The sequence below is a fragment of the Homo sapiens genome, chromosome 1, assembly GCF_000001405.40.
Source record: "Homo sapiens chromosome 1, GRCh38.p14 Primary Assembly".
NCBI classification, from domain to species: Eukaryota; Metazoa; Chordata; class Mammalia; order Primates; family Hominidae; genus Homo; species Homo sapiens.
In genome coordinates, this window is record NC_000001.11 from 176091705 (window position 1) to 176117352 (window position 25648).

Sequence of the window (25648 nt, forward strand, 5' to 3'; positions counted from 1 at the left end):
GAACCAGAAGAGGGATGGTGGGGGAGGTAAAAACGTAAGAAAAAAAATCAAAAACTGAGAAAAACAGAAGTATAATAAGTAAAACAGAATGAAATTATATCAGTATTAGCAATAAATGTAAATGGAAACAATCACTAATAGAAATAGTGACATAATAGATTTAAAATAAAGGTATGCTATCTGCCAAAGAAATACTTAAAACAGAGACAAACTAAAAAATTAGAATAACATGAAAGAATACTAACTAAAAGAGAAAAAATAGATTCAAGATGAAAAACATTAATATGGATGAAAACAGCCACTGTATATGAGAAAAGGTTCAATTTAACATAACCCATCTGTATGTAATAAGAGAGCCTTAACATTTTTCAGGCAGAAATTGCCAGAGAAGTGGACAAACCTATTAACACAATGGGAGATAAATCTGCAAGTCAACTGAGTTATGCAACTAGTGTTATGCAAGTAACACTAGTTTATATATGGCCAAATATAAAATTTGATATAATGAATATATAGAAAACACTGTACCTAATTTAAAAATAGGCATTCTTCTGAAGCATGCATAGAACATTTACAAAAACTGACCATGTAATATGTTACTGGATAATATGTTTACAATCTTGAGAAAGGGCAGAATTTCTTAAATGAAACACAAGAAGTACTAATATAAAAATTATAAATTGCATGACATAGAAATTAAGAACTTCTGTTCACCAAAATTAATCATTAAAAAGGTGAGACAAGATACAAACTGTAAGAAGATATTTGCAGTATCCAAAAACAAATGATTAGTATCCAGAATATATCTATTTCTCTAAGACCAACACAAAAAAATGGGGAAAGACTTGAAATGCCATTTCACAAAAGACAAAACATAAAGGACAATAAATATAAGAAAAGGTGCTGTTTTATAGTGGCAGGAAAATAAAAATTAAAGTCGCAACTATGCTCTATTTATTACCACTAAGGTGACAATCATTTTAAAGTCCAACAATACTAATTATCAGCAAGAATGCTGAGAACCTGGAACTCATACACTCATGTAGTGGGAGTTTTAAATTGATAAAAGTACACTGGAAAACAATTTGTTATTAACTCAAAATACAAATTTTGCATACCCAATGCCCTTTAATTCCTCTCCTAGGTACATATCTAGGGAAACTCTTGCACCTGTGGATCTGGAGACATGTACAAAGATGCCCTTAATAGCAAGAACAACAAAAACCCTAGAAGTGCATGTAATGTATACAGATTCAACTGAAAAATTGTAGTATAGTAACACAATGGAATATTATACGTCAGTGACAACTACAGCCACAGGCATCAGCAATTAATCTCTGAAAAAACAAATCTCAGAAATCTTACTATAATATTTTTATAAAGTTCAAATACAGCCAAAACAAATAATATAGGGGTGTGTATATATGTGGTAAAACTTTTTTAAAAGTCAACATATTGATAAACATAAATATCAGAAAAATAATTATATTTGGATAGGAAGCAGGTGATAAAATTGGTTAGGAACACATGAGTAACCTGTATACTACTTTTAATATTCTATTATTAAATAACTAACACAGAAGCCAGTTCCATAAAAGTTTTGCTATATTTCTAATTTACATATTAATGAAATATATTCCTTTGTAGGTACCAACATATTTTTTAATAATACTAAGATTGTAATTCTAGATTTTAGCCTACAGATCTCTTCAAAAGTGATCTGGCTGGGCATGGTGGCTCATGCCTGTACTCCCAGCAGTTTCGGTGGCTGAGGTGGGCGGATTACAAGGTCAAGAGATTGAGACTATCCTGGCCAAAACAGTGAAACCCCTTCTCAAAATATAAAAATTAGTGGCCAGGTGCGGTGGCTCACACCTGTAATCCCAGCACTTTGGGAGGCCGAGGTGGGCAGATCACGAGGTCAGGAGATCAAGACCATCCTGGCTAACACGGTGAAACCCCGTCTCTACTAAAAATAAAAAAAAATTAGCCAAATGTGGTGGTGGGTGCCTGTAGTCCCAGCTACTTGGGAGGCTCAGGCAGGAGAATGCTGTGAACCTGGGAGGCGGAGCCTGCAGTGAGCCGAGATCAAGCCACTACTCCAGCCTAGGTGACAGAGCGAGAGACTCTGTCTCAAAACAAAACAAAACAAAACAAAACAAAAACAAGTTAGCTGGGCATGGTGGCGCACACCTGTAGTCCCAGCTACTCGGGAGGCTCAGGCAGGAGAACCACTTTAACCCAGGAAGCGGAGGTTGTAGTAAGCTGAGATTGTGCCACTGCACTCCAGCCTGGAGGCAGAGTGAGACTCTGTCTCAAAAAAAAAAGGAAAAAAAAAAAAGTGATCTGTTTAACGGAAAAACAGATAAGACTTCAAAGCCTGAAAGATGAGAATAATTAACAATAATCAGGAACAGGGCATATAAAACAAATAGGAAGTAGTCAGCAACACTGTTTTGTTTTACTTATTTGGCTTCCAGTTTTTATAGTAAACTCATTTTCTCAATTATTTTCCTGTATTTATTCTTGACATTTCTTAAATTTATTCAAAACCCTAGAGTAAATCCTTTACTCAAAAACTCTACAAGCAACTAGGTTGCCTTATAATTGTTGGTAAATATGCAACACTTGGGTCATCATCATATGCCAGTTTAATTATTAAATTATAAATAATATTAATATAAAAAATAGAAATGTGCTATGTATGCAGAGATAAATGTTTTGAAAATACATATTGGATGCAGATAGTCTACAAGGCCAATCTTCAAATAAAACAATTTCAAGATAAGCTCTTTTACCTAGAGGTAGATATAAATACGACACAAATCAAACAGAAATATTTATCAACTATGTTAATTTTACCTAGCTTGGTTCTAAAGAAAAATGATCACATTTAGCAAACTCAAAGATAATTAAATTTCACCACAGCAAAAACAGAAGCATATCTTATTTGGTCATTGGAAAAAGTTAAAAAAAAAAAAAAGTCCTCAAATAAATGCTAGAAAGTTAATAGGCATACTATGAAGATAAAAGAGCAAATTAGATGATCATACAAAAAGATAATTTATGGTCAGCCTGTAAATTATGAAAAATCTTTACACATATAACTACTTTAATTCCCAATAAATGCAATTAACATGAAAACAGAAAAGCAGCAAGCAAAACTGAATATTCTATTTCATATACTTAATATAAAATAGCGGAGTACAAAAGCAATGAGATCTTCAAAAGACTAATGAAATCAATGCTTGTATAATAAAATAAGTAACTTACCATGGCAAAGTTCCCTGTCAATTCCACTAAGAGGAGACTCCTACTTCAAATGAAGCTAAAAGTGTCTGTATGATTGACTGAAACCTGAAATTTTTCCAATCTACAAATACTTTTTTCTCAAACTAATTTCATAAATTAACACTGCATGGAAAACTATCATTATTTACACAATAAGTAAACTTTATAAGTTCAAGGAATACATACAAAATAATAAAACAAATTAACTATTAAACCCATACACACATTTTCATACAAGCAGATTTAATGACTAGCTTTAAAGCAAAGAGTTACAGAATTTAGAATAGTGGTTATCATAGTGTGATCCCCAAAATGTGGCTGAGGACCACTGGGAGTTCTCTAAGATCTTTTCAGGAATCTGGGAGGACAAAGCTATGTTCTTAAAAATAGTAAGATGTTATTTGCAGCCTGGTGTGGTGGCTCACGCCTGTAATCCCAGCTCTTTGGGAGGCCAAGGCAGGCAGATTGCTTGAGTCCGGATCCAGACCAGCCTGCGCAGCATGGCAAAACCCTGTTTCTATAAAACACAAAAAAAAATAAGCTGGGCATGGTGGCATACACCTGCAGTCCCAGCTATTGGGGAGGCTGAGGTAAGAGGATGGCTTGAGCCCAGGAGGTAGTTGCAGTGAGCTGAGATCCTGCCACAGCACTCCCGCCTGGGTGAGAGGGCAAGACCCTGTCTCAGAAAAAAAAAAAAAAAAAAGATGTTCTTTGCAATTTTCCTTGTGCTTATGTTTGTACTTGTGATACAAAAGCAAAGATCAGTATAAGACTGCTGGTCTCTTAGCACAAATAAAGGCAACAGCACCAAATCCGACTGGTAGACACTGTTCTTCATTACTATTCATAATTTTTTTTAAAAAAACATATAAAAATCTGTTAAGAATCAGTTCACTTAAGGATGCCCTTAACAAGGTCACACAAATTAAATCCTGCATTAAATCCAGGCCTTTGCATGTATACCTTTTTACTATTCTGTGACAAAATGAGAAGTATGCACTGTACTTTATCTGCTAGCAGGACTCTCTCTTGCTTTGCTGAGCGTTATTTTTCCTTTTTACCCAATAAATTCCACTTTCCTCATCCTTCTAGGTGTCCACAAGCCTAATCTTTCCTAGTTGTGTGACAAGAGCCTGGTTTTAGCTGAACTAAGGAGAGAGTTCTGCAGCATTTTTGCTGCCCAATGTGAGGCCAAAGGAAGGGTGAGTAAAATGTGAACCCAAAACCTCTCACTTTCGCTTCTGAGCCTTTTGGTCCTATGGCATGCCTCTTCTTTTTTTTTCAGGACAGTAACAGCACCTATCTTTTCTTTTATAATACTGGAGGTGGTCCACACCCACTTAAATGGCCACAGGCTCAGGCTCAGGATGGTTGGGCGAATGGCAGCTCCCCACTCCCCTTACCTCCTGGTTTGGGTGCATGGCCATGTCTGCCACATGAGTGCAGTGTCCAACGACCACACAGGGCGGGAATGAGCCACAGCCACTGTCCAGGCCCCAAGGCGGCCTCAGGGGCCTGGGCCCTGCATGGTTGACTGGCCAGACTACCATTGGTCTGAGCCAGGGGGAAAGGAACCCATTTGTATAAGAATAAGAGGTTCTTCTCCCAGGGTTACCCTTACACTATGAACTGTTTTTTCTCTACCTATTAGCAGTTAACTTTTACGTGAGAGGATTTTTTTTTTCCTTTTTAGAAAATGTTTTACAAGGCCAAGACCCCAACTATCACTGTTTATATTCTCTGTAAAGTTTTAACTATGAAAAAGGATTTATATTGGTCTTAAGCTGTAGCCAATCTGGTCTGCTTTACATAACTTTCTGTATGGTAAGTAGCAAACTTTGCTGCAGGCCTCCATCTTGTTTTACGTCCTTCAGAGCCAGACCTGTAACCACATGACAATGTTTTGTTCTAGCCTCTGCCATTTTACATTTGTGGCCCGGGGTTCGATCCTGGCTTAGGGAATGAGTCCTTTTTGGTTTGATACCTGTGCAACCTTTGCTATTTGTTGATTCTCTTCCCCTCCACGAAATGCCTTGGATTTTACTTTCTTTGAGCCTTTAGTAAAGTTTGAAAGCCAGAAATATTGGCCACTTGGGATGGCTAAAGTCAGGTAATAGGGGATTTAAAAGGATTTTCTTAAAGAACACTCAGCTTAATTAAAAGTAGATATCCAAGTTGTAGGCATAGGTAAAAGGTCTTTATGTTTTTCTCTTCTAGGACCTTGTTTTGTTGAAAAAAAAACGACTGAATTATTTTTCTCCATTTTTCCTTGCCACTCTCAATGCACACATGAGAAGGAAGAGACCTCTGTTTTCCTCATGGAACACCAGTAATTAAAAGCAAATAGATCCCTCTCAAAATCTGTTTTTGCCTCATTTATGCCTGTTTGTTAGGCCTTAGAAGCTGAATGTTTTCCTAGCCCTGTCTCTTAAAGGCTCCACCTGGAGACCATTAATTCAATTAGGAGACTGGCAAATGAAAGATCTTATGGCAATTGGGTTTTCTTCTGTCTATCTGTGTACATATATATGTGTTGTGTGTGTGATGTCTATAAAAAAGCTCTTTTTTTTATAGAGCTTTTTTTATAGACTGGCTGGGTGCAGCAGCTCAAGCCTGTAATCCTAGCACTTTGGGAAGCTGAGGCAGGTGGATCACCTGAGGTCAGGAGTTCAAGACCAGCCTGGCCAGCATGGTGAAACCCCATCTCTACTAAAAATACAAAAACTAGCTAGGTGTGGTGGGACATGCCTGTAATTCCAGCTACAAGGGAGGCTGAGGCGGGACAATCGCTTGAACATGGGAAGCGGAGGTTGCAGTGAGTCGAGATCATGCCACTGCACTCCAGCCTGGGCAACAGAGTGAAACTCCATCTCAAAAAAAAAAAAAAAAAAAGCTCTAATTAATTGGCCTAAAGGAAGATAAACACTTTGATCAAATGTTTTTTAAAAGGAAAATAAAAGCTGTAGTGCCTTTCAGTTCACGTGACTTTAATCTTTAAGAAATAAAAAACAGCCTTAAAGATTATTGGTAAAATACAGATGTCATCAAAATGTAAATAGGTAAACTAAATTATATAGGTCAGATATTAGGTTTGCTAAATGTTTTAAGGTTATAACCTGCCTTTTTTGGTTTTTGAGAACGATCTAACTTGATGGCTCCACATTTGGTAAAACCTGGCGACATAAGGAACTAACCATGCCCTTAATTATGCTGGAAGAAGTCAAACCTTGGCTGCACCAAGCAAATAATTAAAACAATTTACCAGGTTTTAAAGGTAAAATTGCTAAGAGTTACCATTATAATATGTAATTGAAACTATTGGAAATAGATTTACATGTGAGGTGTGTTATGATGTGTTTTTAATAAAAGATTATAAGAAGGTGTGGAAATGTAAATTTTTGCCTAGGGTCTAAGGATTGTTCTGAATTAGATAAGATAAAGCTAAAAGTTTAACAGAGCGAGACTCCATCTCAAAAAACAAACAAACAAAAAAAGCTAAAAGTTCAAACAAGTGATGGAAGGATTGTAAAAATTAATCTTCCAAAATAAATTCTCTGTGTTAACATATTGACTAACTTCAAAAAGGCATTATATGGTTTTTCTGTAAACTAAGCATTGAAATAAAAGCAGAAAAACGTACTCTTAAGGAACTAATCTGCTCTTTAGGAAAATTTGTAAAGGGTTATAAAAGATTTTTGTTTTTCAAATTTCTGAGTCATCATTTTGGCAAAATAAATAACTTACCTGGAATAATTTGGAATTCTATTTCATAACATCAAGTGTTTTAAACCTCTAACATATTTAACAGGCTTCCCAAAATCAAACTTCAGTTTCAAAATTGTCTTTCCTGATGCCTAGCTTTTGGATGCTGCAGAGAGTCCCTGGAGTATCCAAATGAGGGGTAAACAGAACACGTTTACTTACATGAGATTGCCAAAATGGTGTTCAATCTTCTTTAGGTTATATTTTGGTGACTACTACTAATATATGTTTCAAAACTGTATGGGATTCCAAAAATTCTAATGTCTAAAGTATATGCTATCCATCATAATTAAGGTTGTTATGTTAAGTTATTGTAAACCACAGAGATAATCAAACTACTTTGTCAATTGTGCTTCTAACTGTAACTACCCTGGACATTTTGTTATTCACAGACAATTGCTGTCTTGTTTTGATCCTTTTCAAAAAATGGCTTATAACAAGCTATAGGACTCTAACAGGTACTCTCAAATACAGGTTTCTAATAACTTTGGAGATTGTAACATTACAATACAGGAAAAACGTGCAGGACTCATGAAGAACTAAAATGTTGATGAATATCAAGCAAAATAAGAGTTAACTAAATGAACTGAACTCACCAAAAACTGAGGTAATCTTTTTAACTTTTGCTTGGAATATTGCTGATCCTTGTTTTGTTTTTTCATAGTCAAGGAAACTTATTTTGAACTATTTACAGTCTTTAATAAATGAGTATGGCACACTCCTGTGAAAAAAATTTGGAGCATATTTGTCTCTCTCTCTCTCTCTCTCTCTCTCTCTCTCTCTCCCTGGCTTCTCCAGAATTTGGAAACTAGTTGTAAGTGTTCTTAACTTATGGCAATATAGTTGTTTACATCAGTGCAATAAGAATCCATTTTCTTTTGCAACTGGATGCAACTGGAGAAATGTTGTTTTACCAAGGCTTAACTTGAAGGGTATGCTTCCCTTTAAGGAGTCAAGCTCGACTTGCAGAGCCAATAAAAGCCCCTTGGGAAAAATGGCCTCATACCCTTGTCTACACAGCTGCTGTAGAGGGTTCCTGACCTGTGATAAGTAAAGAATGTCACCTTCTACAGGCCCAGAGCTCCAAGTTTATTTTGAGACGTTAAGAGAGCAGGATCACCCAACTCACAGGCATTTGAGGATACAAACTGATGGCTGGGCTTGGCTTTAAAAGGTCTTATCTGGGATTTCTTGTGGAAGAGTTCCGTCCAAGCCAATCTAAAAGGCCTATGTAAAAATAATTAATCTTGCTGCACTTTAAACAAATAATCAGGCCAAGTATAAGACTAAGGTCTATTTTGCAAACAATTCAATCCTATCATGATTTGTTTTTTAACAAAAATAAGGACTGGCAGGGTGCGGTGGCTCACGCCTGTAATCCTAGCACTTTGGGAGGCCGAGGCAGGTGTATCACCTGAGGTCAGGAGTTCGAGACCAGCCTGGCCAACATGGTGAAACCCCGTCTTTACTAAAAATACAAAACTTACCAGGTGTGGAGGCAGGCGCCGGTAATCCCAGCTACTTGGGAGGGTGAGGCAGGAGAATCGCTTGTACCTGGGAGGTGGAGGTTGCAGTGAGCCAAGATAGCGCCATTGCACTCCAGCCTGGGGACAAGAGCGAGACTTTGTCTCAAAAAAAAAAAAAAAAAAAAAGACTGGAGAGAGATAAATTATATTTCAAGACTTATCATATATTTGTCATTAAATTCTACATTCCTTTGTTATTTTTAAGTGTTTGCCTACATTTTAGACTAACCCTGCTTGTTCCTGTGAACCAAACAGTAGTTTCCAGCTGCAGCTCAGAAAAAAACAAAAGGGATGGGTAATGTAGAAATCTGGATCAATATTATAGTTCTGAGCAATTATCCTGCCGGGTGATGGGAATAAACAGAATGCCCGTCACTCGGAGGTTTCCTTTTTGGAAAACTAAGAACAAGGGAGCTAACCAAAGACAAGAACTATGCACCCAAATCTTAGCAGGCATAACTATATCCACCAGTTATCTGGGGTGTCACAAGATATCCTTTTCTCCCTTGTTGGAGCAGGACTCAATTCCACAGCTTCACCATAGCATTCAGCTTAAGAAAAGGAGTCCGTGCAACACCCCCACCCCCCAAGACACATTTTTGTCTCAAACTCAATTCCAAGCTTTGGGTCAAAGCCCTAGGAAAGAAAACCGGATCTGATGGATCCAGAGGCAGATGATAACAGAAGTTAAAAGGCACAGCATAGGTTAGTGTGACTGATTCTTACTAAGCCAAGCTTCCCATTGCATAGATAAAGGTCACGCTACTATCCATGGCATAAATAAGGTCTAGGGAATTCAAAGGCTACTGACAGCAGGGGACATAAGGTGTACATGGGTAAGAGTGAATACTCCCACCCTGTAGCATGCCCCCCACCATCAACATCAGTGAAAGCTGCTTTGACACCCATGGGTGGCACCCTATCGTGGCTGGTGGGACTCGGGATCCAAGGACAGAGGAAAGAAAGAGGAACACCTCACTTTCCCTCCCTCAAATACTCCAGGTATTTGCTAGGAAGAGAAGGGAACCTGGGGCACCGTGCTCCTCTCTTTCTAGATAAGCAGCCATTCATCTTCACTCTGTAACCCTTTTGAATGCATCCTGAATCCCAGGACTCCTTTGGAAAAAAAAAGGCTTTCTTTTTCCTTTCTCCTCCTCTGTCCTCTCTTCACTGATAAGTAATCGTGTCTTTGTACTATGGGACACTCCCCTTGGATGCATCTTCCAAACTGGGAAAAGTTAATTTCCCAAACCTTAAATTGGTTGGCTTAGGATTGGGCTCAGGGGAAGGGAACCCAGAAGCCCAACATGCCAGCAAAGGGTAAAAGTTTGTTTTACTAGTCGGGCTTCTGCCCCCATCTCCCTGCACTAACTAGTAAAAGGTCTCGAGATTTTTTAGCTGTCCTCACACCCTCCCCACTTATTTTGTTTTGATACATGTTTTCTAATAACCCAGTTGTCTCTTCTTGCCTTCAGGCCATCACACTCCAAATGGTCATGCAACCGAAGCCTCAGATGATGGCCCCTTTTGATGGGACCCTTAGACAGGCCTCTCAGGGAGATCTGACTGCCATTTTCCCAAAACAGCACACCCTGTCAGCAGGAAGCAGTTAAGATTAATCTTCCTCCTTATCCTTATGGCAGTTAGATATATACTTCTTTAGAGGAGAAAATGATAGAGACAGGAGGAAGCCAAGTGTCCCCAGGCAAAACCCCTCCTTCAAGCCTAAAACAGTCTGAAGGCTGAAAAACCAGACTGCCCATCCTGGATGAAGCCTGCCCTTTCCCAGCTGATTCTTTCTGAATAATACCCATCTGCACACTGAGAGGATGGGGTGGGGCCTCAGGAAGTTTGTGCCATTTGCAGCGGGGAGGAGCCTGGTCTCTCTTGTCCCTGGGTGGTGACCTGGGATTCAATCTGTGAGGCAAGAAACCTGCTAGCAGGATTCTGTCTCACTTTGCTGAGAGTTATTTTTCCCTTTTTCCTTTTCGCCCAATAAATTACGTTTTCCTCACCCTTGTACGTGCCTGCAAGCCTAATCTTTCCCATTCGTGTGACAAGAGCCCAGTTTTAGCTGAACTAAGGAGAAAGTTTTGCAACAATATCACTACACACATGAAAAGGAAATGTGGTCTAAGAAATATACTTGGTCTCTGTCCAAAGTTCTGAAACTGCCACTGCAAAATTACAGCTAAGACAGTGAAAGAGATCTGACCTAAACAAACCATCTTGCTTCTAACCTCCAAGCTGTCCTTTTTCATTCCTGGGCATAGACTGAACTGACTTTGAGAAGAACTTACTTTACAGCTTAAAAAACATGAAAACAGCCCTTTCCTTTCCCAAAACAAACCTCCTTCTTGCCTGGGGACTAGACTGTCTTTGTAAGACTAACAAATTAGCCACAAGATTAGAAATTAAGGTTTAGGAGGCATGCAGCTGGAGGCCACAAGATTCTGACCCTCCTTAAACTGTTCCTAAGATCAGTGCTTGAGATATTTTGCAGACCCTGCACTTGATGGATCAGCTGACACCACCCAGATAGATTAACTGGCTCATCTGATCTTGTGGCCCTGGCCCAGGAATTGACTCAGTGCAAGAGGACAGCTTCAATTCCCCATGATTTCATCTCTGACCCAACTAATCAGCACTCTTGACTCACTGGACTTCCCCCACCCACCAAATTATCCTAAAAATCTCTGATCCCCAAATGCTTGGGGAGACTGATTTGAGTAATAAAACTCTGGGCTCAAGCATAGCTGGCTCTGCATGAATTACTCTTTCTCTATTGCAATTCCAGTGTCTTGATAAATCAGCTCTGTCTAGGCAGTGGGGGAAGGGGAACCCATTAGGGTGTTACAGTTCCTCACACACAGTTCCTAAAATCCTTGGAGTTTCCTGAGTGATATCAGCATCTTTTGTTATTCACAGCAAGTTCCTTTTGATCATACCTGAATTTAGTGAAGTGACTTAGGGTGAGACACCCACAAAGCCTTAGGATAAGGCTGGTCAAAAGATCACCAAGTAATTAGTTGGAACTTTTGCACACACACCAACCTCCAGGAAGCGGGTGAGGCCTGGAGATTAAGCTCTATAAAACTCTATAAAGCTCCTAAACAATAAGATTGAATGAGTTTCCAGGTTGGTGAACACACTGAGGTCTAGGATGATCAGGAGAGCATGCATGCCCAGAGAGGGCATGGAAGCTCTGCAAACCATCCTCTTCCCTACCTTGGAATATTTGCATTGTACTTACCAACTGAGCACCCCTAATCTGAAAATCCAAAGTCCAAAATGCTCCAATTAGCATTTCTTTTGAGCACCATATCACAGCTCAAAAAGTTTCAAATCTTGGAACATTACAAATTCTGGATTTTTAGATTTCAGATGCTAAATCTGTATTTCTTATAACTGCATGTAAATCTATAATTATTAATATCTCAAAATTAAAAGTTTAATTTCAAATTTTTAAAAACAAATTTTCAGCTTTAAAAAATGCTTAGAAATAAACTTATGAAAAATATAGGCAAAACCTAGAGTTAAAATCAGTATCATAAAGATGTCAATTCTCCCTGAGATAATTGGTAAGATAAAGGCAGTTCCAATAAAAAATACCAAGAAGCTTTTTTAGGGAGCTAGATAAACTGATACTAAAGTTCCTATGAAAAAACAAACAGGAAGAAATATTCTCTAAAACAATGAAAAAGAGAAGCTAAGATAGGGGAAGAAGAGAAGTATCAGACATTAAAACATATCATAAAGCGTCTACAATAAAGGAATGATAACAATACAGAAACAGAAACAGACCAGCAGATGGATAAACTTTTTAAAATAGGGCTGGGGGCACATAGCTAGTCATTTGGATGGATGAAATTAAATCCACATTTCAAAACATACACTAAAATAAACTCCAAATAGATTGAGAATTTAAATGTAAAAAAATAAAGATGAGACAAGTATTTTAAGAAACAAGGGGTTTCTCTACATCCTGGTTGTAGGGAGAAGCTTTTAACTGTGATTCAAAGATCTAGATGTAATTTTTAAAAATTGATAATTTTAACTAAAAACTTTTGAATGGTAAAAAAATAAAATAGGAAGAAAATATAGGCAACACAGGTCATAGGTAACAGACTAGTATTCCTAATATAACAAAGTCTTATAAATTGAACCCAAAAAGTCAAGCACCTAATAGAAGAAAAGGGTCTGTCAGCTAAAGATATGAGTATACTACTCACTAATAAGTATATTAGTAAACCAGTAAACATATGAAAACATAGTCAATCTCATTTATAATTAAAGAAACACAAAACTATTCTGAGATATATTTCTCACCTAATATATTGGCAAAAATTAAAAACTATGAAACTTTTCAAAGTCATTCTGTTAGAGGTGCTGTGGGGAAAACAGACATATTTACATGTTGTTGGTGAAGACACAAACTGCTTTTGGAGGGTGGTTTATTTGGTACTATCCATTCATACCTTTGACCCAGCAATCCCACTTCTAGGTATTTACACTGAAAGTACACCTCCAATAATATGAAAATACATAGGCACAAATTAGTCACTCTCTACTGGCTGTAATTTCAAAATAATGGAAACTGCGTACTTGTCATTATATAACAAAGTGATTAAGTAAATTACAGTACAACCACATGACAAGTTTCATGCAGCTGTAAAAAAGAATGAGGAGGACTTCTATGAACTTCCATAGAGTTACCTTCCTCATAAATTGTTAAATAAAGTACAGAAAAAAAATTACTAGAAAGCTACCCTTTGTGAAAGAGAGTAAAAATAAGAAAATGTGCATATGTATCTGTAAATCTGACTAATAAAATTGGTGACCTAAAGAAGGTAAGTAGAAATGGAGTAGAAAAGATGGAGGTAGGGAAATTGGTAGAAAAGCTGAAAGGGTAGCCGTTATTGATTATAACTTTTTATACAGCTCTGATTTTTAGAATCAGGGTAATATTTTACATATTCAAAAAGGATATATATAATAAGGATGGAAAGTGGGGTGAAATACAAATAGAAGTAAATGAACCTAACTGTATTTCAAAGAAATATCACAACGAAAATTGAAGAAAATTAAACAAATCCAAATAACCTTTGAATATACTATATTTTCAGTATATATTCTCAGGCTAAAGACAAACGGAATTTCAAAGAAATATCTCTAGTTACATTGGTTTTCTCAGCAATTTTCATGCTAACTTTTGTATATATATTCTAAGACCATGCAAATAAGTAAGTGTATTTTGATCGTGACAGCTAGGTTTCCATCAGAAAAGGAAATTATAAATATAGAAAGGACAAATGCCAGAATGAACCCTAAACATGGTAGAATAGCATGGATTGACCTCAGCTTGTATGGACTGACCACTGACCCTTGCCTATGCTATAGAATATATTAACTAAAGATAAATAATTTTCTGTAATCATGAGTCAGGGAGTTGTTTTGGCGCAAAACACATCAGTTGGTCAGCATTGTTTAGTAATAATAATTGAATTCATGATTTTCATGATTTGCACCTGATTTCAGTAGTATCTATTAAAGCTGGTCACATAACCAAAATGTATGCATCTAAGTGACTGAAACCACCTTTGCAAAATTATGACTAAGACAGTGAAAGAGATCTAACCTAACTGACTCCATCTTACTTCTAACCTCCAAGCTGTCCTTGTTCATTACTGGGCACAGGCTTAACTAACTTTGGGAGGAACTTAGTTTACAGGTTTGTTTTGTTTTTTGTTTTGTTTTGTTTTTTTGAGACAGAGTCTCGCTCTGCTGCCCAGGCTGGACTGTGGTGGCGTGTGCTCAGCTCACTGCAGCTCCTTCCTCATGGGTTCAAGTGATTCTTCTGCCTCAGCATCCTGAGTAGCTGGGATTACAGGCATACATCACCACACCCTGCTAATTTTTGTATTTTTTGTAGAGACGAGGTTTCTCCATGTCGGCCAGGCTGGTCTTGAACTTCTGACCTCAGGTGGTCCATCCACCTTGACCTCCCAAAGTGCTGGGATTACAGGTGTGGGCCACTGTGCCCAGCCAATTTACAGGTTACAGCTTAAAACAAAGACCATAACAGCCCTTTCCCCAAAACAAACCTCCTTCTTGCCTGGCAACTAGACAACTAACACTGGCCACAAGATCAGAAATTATAGTTTATAAGTTTATAAGTTAGGCAGCTGGAGGCTACAAGATTCTGACCTTCCCTAAACTGCTCTTAAGATCAGTGCTTGAGATATTTTGCAGACCCTGCACTTGACAGATCAGCTGGCAACACCCAGATTGATTAACTGGCCCATCTGATATTATGCCCCCACCCAGCAATTGACCCAGTGCAAGAGGACAGCTTCAATTCCCTATTATTTCATCTCCTACCTAACCAATCAGGCACTCCTGGCTCATTGGCTTCCCCCAACCCACCAAGTTGTCCTTAAAAATTCTTATCCCCAAATGCTCGGGGAGACTGATTTGAGTAACAGCACAGCGGCTCTGCATGAATTACTTTATCGCAATTCCTCTGTCTTGATAAATTGACTCTGTCTAGGCAGCAGGCAAGGTGAATCCATTGAGTGGTTACATGACTAGCTCACAATTAGAGACTCCAACCAAAAGCTGACTTTGGATCTCCTGGCATTCAGGTGCTTCAAACCCAAGCCAGTAGTGATTCTAAATCTGGTGACAAAGCAATTCCGGTGCAACCTAGCAGTGGAAGGACAAAGAATATTGTGACTGAATTCTCTGGATCCCTTTCAATAAATACACTACTGCTGCTGGGCTGTTCTGTATATCCATTGCCTGTAATCACACTGTTCCAGAAATATAAATGGTTTGATTCCTGGGAGTCCTTCAGTAATCAAACACAGTGATTAATATGTAATTAATGCATATATATTATGGATATAAATATATAACAATGTATATTAATACATATGAATACATATATTTCCTAGCTCTGTCCACTGAGAAAGCTTGCAAGCAATGATACTCCAAGAACAATGAGCATACTTAAGATTTTTGGTTTTAAAATATATTTCTCCACTAAAAGAAAAGAGGTTTCTTGGATACAAGACTATTCCAGGACTGGAGCAAGGTCAGTACGGAATGAAGCTGGAACATTATTGTCTAAGAAAGTACTTATAAAGAATGATAGAAATATGTCAAAAGGATACAGAAGTCAGTATGAAGGAGCTCCAACTAGCCAAATACAAGATGATTTGAGTTTCAAAATTAGTAACAGAATATATATATTAATGACCCAGGATTCCACAACAATATAAACATACAAAGAGAAGGACTAACTAATAAATGTGGAAGATATAAAAACTCAGAAAATCATCATTTGGACAACTAACACATTAACAATTATTATTATAAGTAAGATACAATGATAGATGCTCAAAGGGAAGAAACTTTACAGCAGTGAAATCTGGCAGCCACCATTTTAATCGAGTGATCAAAGTTAACATCACCAGCACTGAGACAAATAGATACCATATGCCTCCAGATATGACAAACTAAGGAGGACAAAATAGGACTACTATAGTATTCCTGACGAAAATAGATAATCTGAATCTTAAGCATAAGGAAACACAAGACAAATTCAAACTGAGGGAAATCCTATAAATAACTTACACTCTTCAAGAATGTTGATGTCATAAACTGAAGAACTGTACCAATTTAGAGGAGATTAAAGAGACATGACAAATAAATGCAACAAGTCATTCAGAATTGGTCCTGGACCAGATTTTTTTTTTTTTCTATAAAGGACATTAGTGAATACACTGCTGAAATTTAATTTGTAAAAAATTAAAAAGTAAAAATTTTAGGTTTTCTGAGATACATCAATTTTTTAATTTTGCTAATTGTACTATGGTTATATAAAAATTCTAAAGCAAAATCAATAGGCAATTACAAAAGTTCAGAAATATAACTCTATAAAGTTCATACATTTCTGGCTTCACTTATATTGTTAGCATTTTTTTCAATTCAACTACTAAATATTATTTTTAAGAGCAGTAAAGTAATCCATCCTATAGTTGTAGCACTATTTCTGTAACTATTCTATTATGGCTGGGCATGTTTATTTTTCCAGAATTTTTGCACATATGATTAATACCAGTATACAATCTTTACATAGTACTTAGAATCATTCCTTGAAATAAATTTGTGTATAATTACCAAATCAAACTATTTTAGCATTGATCACATGTATATACTGCCAAATTATCTTCCTGGACGACTATCAACTCAACTACCACTCTCCCTTCCTCCACCTACCCTTCCCCAATATGCACATGGTTGAGCACATACACTCATTGCAAGTAATAGTAATTCCATTTTGGAACATCCCTTTGATTTTAGCCATAACTATCAGATGATTTCTTTGGTATCTAGTATTATTCTATATTTTGCTTTTATTTATTTGCAAAAATTGAGTATTATTTCATGTGAGCTGAATGTGTGAATTTTTGTCTTTTAAAAATATTGATGTCCTGAACCATTTTCTTACTCTATTTGGAGCTTTCATTAAAAAGATAAAATTGGCCTGGAGCGGTGGCTCATGCCTCTAATCCCAGCACTTTGGGAGGCAGAGGCAGGCAGATCACGAGGTCAAGAGATCGAAACCATCCTGTCCAACATGGTGAAACCCCTTCTCTACTAAAAATATAAAAATTAGCTGGGCGCGGTGGTGCGCACCTGCAGTCTCAGCTACTCGGGAGGCTGAGGCTGGAGAATCGCTTGAACCCGGGAGGTGGAGGTTGCAGTGAGCTGAGATCACGTCACTGCACTCCAGCCTGGCGACAGAGTGAGACTCTGTCTCAAAAAAATAATAAAATAAATAAAATTATCAAAATTTTTAATATTTTGAAGCAATTAAGCCATTTACTTGCCCTAATTATGACGCCTTTCTCAATTTGGGTTTAAATTTTGTTTGTGGTGCTTTCTTATATGTAGGGTAGACTTCTTTCTTCATTTCTATAGTTCTATTGCTGTTTAAATTATTGTTTAGCTGAACTGAACTCTTTCAGTAAGTGAAAACAAGCTAAATTTCCTTCAAATAGTTTCCCATTTGTCCCAACACCATGCATTTAATCTCTCCTTTCACCACTGATCTACATGACCACCTTTATCACAGACTATTAATTACTTTTTGGTAGATTTTAAATTTTTATTCTGCTTCTTTTGTTACAGCAGTCTTAGAGTACATTTTAATAGTTGATGAGGTAAATTCATCATTAACTTCTGAATAATTCATTGTACTAATGAACTTTACAATGTTAATTGGCCACATTCTACACACCCTTAAAAAAAACTACTGGGATTTCTTTTAAATTGGAATCTAATTAAATTAGTAATTATGGTTACTGGTCTATCCCAATTGTCCTAAAATTAATCTGAACTATTTTAATATTTTACATTCTTCTTTAAAATTACATGTCATTAAGAATGTGATTTTTATTAGTATGCATCAACACTGTCTTAGTTATTTTAATGTACTCAGTATCATGATAATAGCTAATTTCAATTTATGTTGTATATGGGCTTTTTTTTGGTCTTTCTATATTTACCATCTAGTGATAATGTAGCCTCTTGGATAAATAATAAGTTCATTTATTTTCATTCTTATCTAAAAATGAAAGCATTCAAGACTATGAATGTTTAGTACAATTCTGACCACATTCCAGAAATTTTTGATAAATAATGTTTCCACTAGCGGTATTTTTTGAGTGCACTGATTTTTTAACACACAGGTACTCAGAGGAGTCTTCATTTACTCTTTTCTAGACTGCCTGTCTGTCTCTATCTGTTTATTTGGGGCTCTAATTCACACAATGCAGACGATACTATTTATCTTGTCTTAGATTCAACCAATTTTTCGAAATTCTCCAAGGATTACAATAAATAACATATATCCTTTGATGCAAAGTATATAGGGAGACAAGTACCTATTAAGCCATGCTTAACTCATTTCACTCAAAAAATCTAAACTCCTTCTAACAGCCTAAGAAAGCCATACATGAAATGTAGCCTCTGTTAAGTTCTTTTACCTCATCTTCTATTTTTATCTCCCTTGTTCACTTGTCTCCAGCTACACTGGACTTCTGAACTATGTAAGGCATTCTCCACCTCAGGGATTATTTACTTCTTGTTCTCTGCCTAGGAAGTTTTCCCAGGGACATTCGTAGACATATCTCTGCTTCCTCATATCCTGGTCATTCAAAAGTCATCTATACTTTTGCTATAAATATCTTACCAACTAGATTGGAAACTTCATTATAGCAAGGATTACTATCTGTTTTGCTTTTGTCCAGTGAGGTGTCCTCAGAGCCTAGTAAATATGAGGTATGTTTAAAACAAAAAACAAAAAAACAAAACAACAAAAAAAGATGACAACAACCACAAAACCCCAAAAACCTGCTGGTTGAATAAATGAGTATTTAAAAGCAAAGACTCTGAAGCCATAATGTCTGGGTTAAAATCTCAGCTCCCTCCTCTTACTAGCTATATTATCTGAGTCAACCTCCATAACTTCTCTGTGTATCAGTTTCCTTCTCAATAAAAAATAGTAATAGAATTTATCAGCAGGGCGCAGTGGCTCATGCCTGTAATCCCAGCACTTTGGGAGGCTGAGGCATGCAGATCATGAGATCAAGGGATCGAGACCATCCTGGCCAACATGGTGAAACCCCGTCTCTACTAAAAATACAAAAATTAGCTGGGTGTGGTGGTGTGTACCAGTAGCCCCAGCTACTTGGGAGGCTGAGGCAGGAGAATCACCTGAACCCGGGAGGCGGAGGTTGCAGTAAGCTGAGATGGCGCCACTGCACTCCAGCCTGGACAACAGAGCGAGACCTTGTCTCAAAAAATAAAAATAATAATAATAACAGTATTTATCTCACAGAGTAGCTCTGAAAGTTAGTTAATAAATATGAATAGTTCAAACACTGTCTATGAAAAGTAACTGCAAAATAAATGCTACCTAATTATTTAATTTATTTTTATTTATTTTTTGTGTGTGTGTGAGATGGAGTCTCGCTCTGTTGCCAGGCTGGAGTGCAATGGCATGATCTTGGCTCACTGCAACCACTACCTCCTGGGTTCAAGCAATTCTCCTGCCTCAGCCTCCTGAGCAGCTGGGACTACAGGTGCGCACCACCATGCTCAGCTAATTTTTTGTATTTTTAGTAGAGACGGGGTTTCACCGTGTTGGCCAGGATGGTTTCGATCTCTTGACCTTGCGATCCACCTGCCTTGGCCTCCCAAAGTGCTGGGATTACAGGCGTGAGCCACCACACCCAGCCCCTAAGTATTTAATTTCTAACAGATTTTGCTTTACATAAATTCCAATCCTTAATGATACTAAGTTTTACTACTTTTGGAAAGTATACATTTTATTTATACGAAAAAAACTGTCTATTTTGTTCATACTTTTGGGTTTTTTTCAGTTTTACAGTATTCTTTAGTTTGCATTTGCCAGGCTTATACTCGACTATCCACTATTTCAATTGTTTTTGTCTCCATTTATGTTAGGTCTAGCTATTATCTGGAGCACAGCTAGAAATGAAGGGTAAGGCCTTCAGTGCAATGTATCATGTCAGCTCCATCTCAACACTAGTAGGGTTTCCTCCTCAACAACCAGCCAGTGCTCTAACAGATGCTAAGAATTCTCCTGGCAGACCTGTTATTTAATCCTTAAGCACACATGTACCATGCATACAGTGAATCAGAGATTAGTCAGCTCTTCTTCCATAAGTATTTTCTCTTTTAATCATCTATAAATTATTCTAAGTTGTGGGTGTGAGGAGAGCAATATAGCAATAGGATTTCTTGTGGGAGGGGATGAGAAGATATTTACGTACTGTCTCAGTGCACTATCTCAAACCAAAAGTCTCCTTCACCACATAAAAGTAAGTGCTACTCTAAAATATTTCCAAAAAAAAAAAAAATTCTGATTGTTTTTCTTTTTCCTCCAGATTCAAGTTTTTTTTTTAAATCTTGATTCAAGGATCTACATTTTTTTTAAATTTTATTATTATTATACTTTAAGTTTTAGGGTACATGTGCACAACGTGCAGGTTTGTTACGTATATATACATGTGCCATGTTGGTGTGCTGCACCCATTCAATTTCTTTTTAGAAAAGTTGCTATATCATGGTTGTGCATATCTGTGGGGGGTACATGTAATATTTTGATAGACGTATACAATGTGTAATAATCAATTAGGGTAACTGGTATTTCTATCATGTCAAACATTTATCATTTGTGTTGGAAACACTGCAACTCTTCTCTTCTAGCTATTCTGAAATATACAATAAAGTAATAACTATAATTTCCCTACTGTATTATCAAATGCTACAACTCATTCACCTAATCTAACTGTATTTTTGTACCCATTAAGCAAGTTCTCTCCATTCCCCCTCCTTGCCTTTCCCTTCTCTGCCTACTACCTCCATTCCACTCTCTGCCTCCATGAGATCCACTTTTTTTTGGCTCCCATTTAAGAATGACAATATGTGATGTTTGTTTGTCTTTCAGTTCCTGGCTCATTTCACCTAATATAATGACCTCCAGTTCCATCCATGTTGCTGCAAATGACAGGATTTCATTCTTTTTTACGGCTGAATAATATTCCAATGTGTATATACACCACATTTTCTTTATCCTTTCATCTGCTGATGGACACTTAGGTTGATTCCAAATATTGGCTATTGTGAATAGTGCTGCAATTAACATGGGAGTGCAGGTATCTCTTCCTTTCTTTTGGATATATAGCCAGCAGTGGGGTTGTTGGAACATATGACAGTTCTATTTTTAGTTTTCTGAGGAACCTCCATACTCTTTTTCATAATGGCTGTACGACTTTACATTCTCATCAGTATAGGGGCATTCACTCTTTCTCCACGTCCTTTCTAACATTTGTTACTTCTATCTTCTTGATAATACCATTCTAACTATGGTGAGATGATATCTCATTGTGGTTTTGACTTCCACTTCCCTGATGGTTAGTGATAAGTATTTTTACATATACCTATTGACCACTTGTATATCTTCTTTTGAAAATGTCTATTTAGAGTTTTTGTCAATTTTTAAATTGGATTATTATTTGTTGCAATCAAACTGTTTGAGTCCATTATATATTCTGGTTATTAATCCCTTGTCGGATAGATAATCTGCCAACATTTTCTCACATTCTGAAGGCTGTATTCAGATTCAGTTTCTACTGGTTTCTAGCTCATAGGATTTGCTAGAAATTTCAAAGTAGTGTTAATATAAATGGTAACTGTGGAAACCTTTTCTTGTTCCCCTATATAAAGTTTGGTCAAAGTCCTCCAGCCAAAGACCAATTAAAAAAACACCTGTAGTTAAATAAATTTTATTTATTGCTAGCAGCAATAAATATGAATAAGTGAGAGATGGCTCAGTAAGACAGTGTTAGAAACAACTTAAAGGATTAAGGCACTTGTTAAATAATTTGTGGGAGAGTTCAAGAAAGTGGGGCTTCACTGTGGATTGGATACTGTCAAGTGGGAATGATTCTATAATTCAGTAACTTATGTAATGATAAATCTTATCTAGGAGCACAGAAGACTACAGGGAGGCTAAAGTTTTAACCAGTAAAGAAGCAGCAACCATTCACATTGGTCAGGGTAGGGTTTTTTTTTTTTTTTATAGTTTGCACAGTGACCTTGTTTTTTAAACGTGGCTAGACAACTTTATGGAGTGATCTTGCTTTTTGTTTCGCTTCATCAGTCACAGGGAGTAGCCTTGTCTGATGTTGATGTTCTGTGAAATTATATTCAGAAGGAGAACATAAATGGCTAGCTATAAATGCCAAGCCAGTTTCCAGATACAGGGACTGCTATTCTCTCTCAAGTTCCTACGGTATATTTCAATTTAAGGCTTTAAATTTTCTCCTAATGTATTCCATTATGTCTTACAAAAAGACTTGAATCTGGTATTTTCATGACCGTTCAGAAACAGATACAAACCAATCTACAAACTTACTACAAAAAAAGAATAGGCCAAATGCATGCATTGTACATGAATATAATACAGGATGATGTACAGAGTAGTCACATAAACTAATCATAAAAGTAACAAGGTAGTCATCCAAGTTTGGAGACAAGAAAAAGAAAAACAGAAGTGATATAATCCAAAAGGATTTATTGTTCACTTAGATAAAAATAGGTGTACTATTTTTTCAAATAAAGTGAATATACAAATAAATGTTCATTAAAAACACCTCATTGTTTTTTGTTTTACTATAAAGGATATTAGGGTAATTCTTTTTTTTGCGGGGGGAGGGAGTGGGGGGGAAAGGGTCTCACTCTGTCACCCAGGCTGGAGTACACTGGCATGATCTCAGCTGACTATAACCACGGCCTCCTGGGTTCAAGGTATCCTCCCACCTTAGCCTCCCAAGTAGCTGAAACCACAAGCACATGCCACCATACCCAACTAATTTTTTTGTTTTTTGTAGAGGCGGGGTCTCACCATGTTGCCCAGGCTATATTAGGGTAATTCTTAAAATCTGAAAATCTAGAATTTATAAATAATACTTTATCAATATTAACTGCTTGAATTTTAAAGTTATATTGTGATTACATAAGACAATATCCTTGTTCCTAATGAAATACATGCTGAAGTATTTAAGGGTAAAGAAACATATGTGGGTACCTTACTCAAACAATCCAGAAAAGAAATTATACGCATATATAGGTAAAAGAAAGGCTGAATGAGAATGATAAAACAAATGTGATAAAATGTTAAGTGCTTAGACAATCTGGATGTAAACTATAAAGGAATTCTTTTTAGTATTTTCGTAATTTTTCTCTAAGTCAAAACTTATTTCAATACAAAGAGTTAAAAAACGTGGCCGGGAGTGGTGGCTCACGCCTGTAATCCCAGCACTCTGGGAGGCCAAGGTGGGTAGATCACCTGAGATCAGGAGTTTGAGACCAGCCTGGCCAACATGGTGAAACCCCCATCTCTACTAAAAATACAAAAATTACCCAGACGCGGTGGCACACGCTTGTAGTCCCAGCCACTCGGGAGGCTGAGGCTGGAGAATCGCTTGAACCCAGAAGGCAGAGGTTGCAGTGAGCCAAGATCACACCACTGCACTCCAGCCTGGGCAGGAGCGGGACTCTGTCTCAAAAAGAAAAATAAAAAATGGCTGAGCACGCTGGCTCACGCCTGTAATGCCAGCACTTGGAGAGGTCAAGGGGGGAGGATCACGAGGTCAAGAGATGGAGACCTTCCTGGCTAACATGGTGAAACCCCGTTTCTACTAAAACTACAAAAAAATTAGCTGGGCGTGGTGGCGCGTGCCTGTAGTCCCGACTACTTGGGAGGCTGAGGCAGGAGAATCACTTGAACCCAGGAGGAGGTTGCAGTGAGCCGAGATCGTACCACTGCACTCCAGCCTGGAGACAGTGAGATTCTGTTTCAAAAAAATAAAATAAAATAAAATATAAAAATAAAAAGTCGAAAAAAGCCTATTAGGCCTCAAAAATAAGCTTGACAGATATCAGTATCTCCAAGCCAAAGATGAAGAGAGTAAAGGTTAAAATACTCATACAACTAATTCAAAGAAGTCAAGCTGATTATCTATTTTACTCAAGACTGTGGTCTTTATTCCATGGAAAAGCTGTTAAGTTTCAACGTAATGAAGCGTAATTCAATGACAGATTTATAATTTTCATTATCTCTAAGATAAACTATGTTCTGATTATTCATAATTTTTTTCCTAAAGTATTTCCTTCCTCTCAGGTTCTGAAATTAACAGTAAGTTTTAAAAAACTGCCAGGGATAGTGATTTTCACCTGTAATCCTACCACTGTGGGAGGGTGAGGCAGACAGATCGCTTGAGTCCAGGAGTTTGAGACCAGCCTGGACAACACGGTGAAATCCATCTAGATCTACAGTAAGTACAAAAATTAGCTGGGCATGGTGGTGCACTTCCATAGGGCCAGCTACTTGACAGGCTGAGGTAGGAGAATTGCTTGAGCCTAGGAGGTCAAGGCTACAGCATTCCAGCCTGCGTGACAGAGTGTCTCAAAAAAACAAAAACAAAAACAAAGCAAAACACTTTAGATTTGTTCCATCACAACTTGGTGAAGAAAATAAATTTAAGTTCTTATCATTGAAAAAGCAAATATTAATATTTGATTCTACCATTATGCATAAGAGCTATTCAAGTGCTAATCAACACCACTGCATTCAAAATGGTTGTCTTTGTGACAGGACATTTTAGTAAACTAATCTATGATTTTATAACTCAGATAATTATACTCATGGTATCATTAAAGCAAACAAAGATATCGTTTACCTGAGAACTGCCACTGAAACCTGGAGGTTGGCTGTATTCTGTGGAATCAATAATACTACTGCAAAATGAAGAGAAAAAAATGTGATTTCAGTATTTACATTATTTTAACAACAGAAAAAGTAAATCTAAAGTATATCATATATAAGCCCAGTATTTCTAATTTCTAAGCCAAGAAAATATTTATTGCCAATCATTAGACATCAAATAGACAACCCATAAAATATCAGCAAATATTTAAGCAATTTACCACTTCAACCCACCACCTCAAACATATAAACCAAGAAATAATGTCAATAGGGGATAATCACAAGGCAGATGTCTATATAGATTTACTTGTTTATATTTCATTTTCAGACAGGTTAAGGTTTGGAGAACTTTAAGGAAAAGAAAATTTACACTATTGGGAAAAGAGCACAAGCATGCAATCAAAATCTATGGTTAACACACCCTGCTATGCCATTAAAAAGCTATGTGTTCTTGGACAATTAACTTATAATCAATTACTCAAGTTTCCTCATCTGTAAAAATGAGGTGATGTAGGCTAGCTATTTATATATCATCTAGAGTCCCTCCCAGCTTCAAAATATTATAATCAAACCTCATGTGAAAAACTGAACTATCAAAAGAATAAAATAAATGGTAAAATAACAATAATCTTGTCTTTGTAACCCAAAACCAATATACTAGTTTCCTCTGCTCTGGTCAAACATAATCTGCTTTCTCCATTGG

The 25648-nt window shown here is 37.0% G+C and overlaps 1 protein-coding gene across 31 annotated transcripts in view, besides 1 other annotated feature; it reads right to left on the reverse strand.

The window, feature by feature from the left end:
• The window catches only part of COP1 (COP1 E3 ubiquitin ligase), a 262456-nt gene that overhangs the window by 146874 nt on the left and 89934 nt on the right, over positions 1-25648 (reverse strand). For all 31 annotated transcript variants that reach the window (XM_047427793.1, XM_047427798.1, NM_001286644.2 and 28 more), the window contains one exon: positions 24920-24977. In XM_047427793.1, the coding sequence (XP_047283749.1) occupies positions 24920-24977 (58 nt within the window). The remainder of the gene's footprint in view (positions 1-24919; positions 24978-25648) is intronic.
• Positions 4729-5228: an enhancer, noted in NCBI's record as "H3K4me1 hESC enhancer chr1:176065569-176066068 (GRCh37/hg19 assembly coordinates)". NCBI's record gives its function as "activates a minimal SCP1, AML or CMV promoter by ChIP-STARR-seq in primed H9 embryonic stem cells {active_cell/tissue: H9 hESC(primed)}" and the evidence as "EXISTENCE:reporter gene assay evidence [ECO:0000049][PMID:30033119]".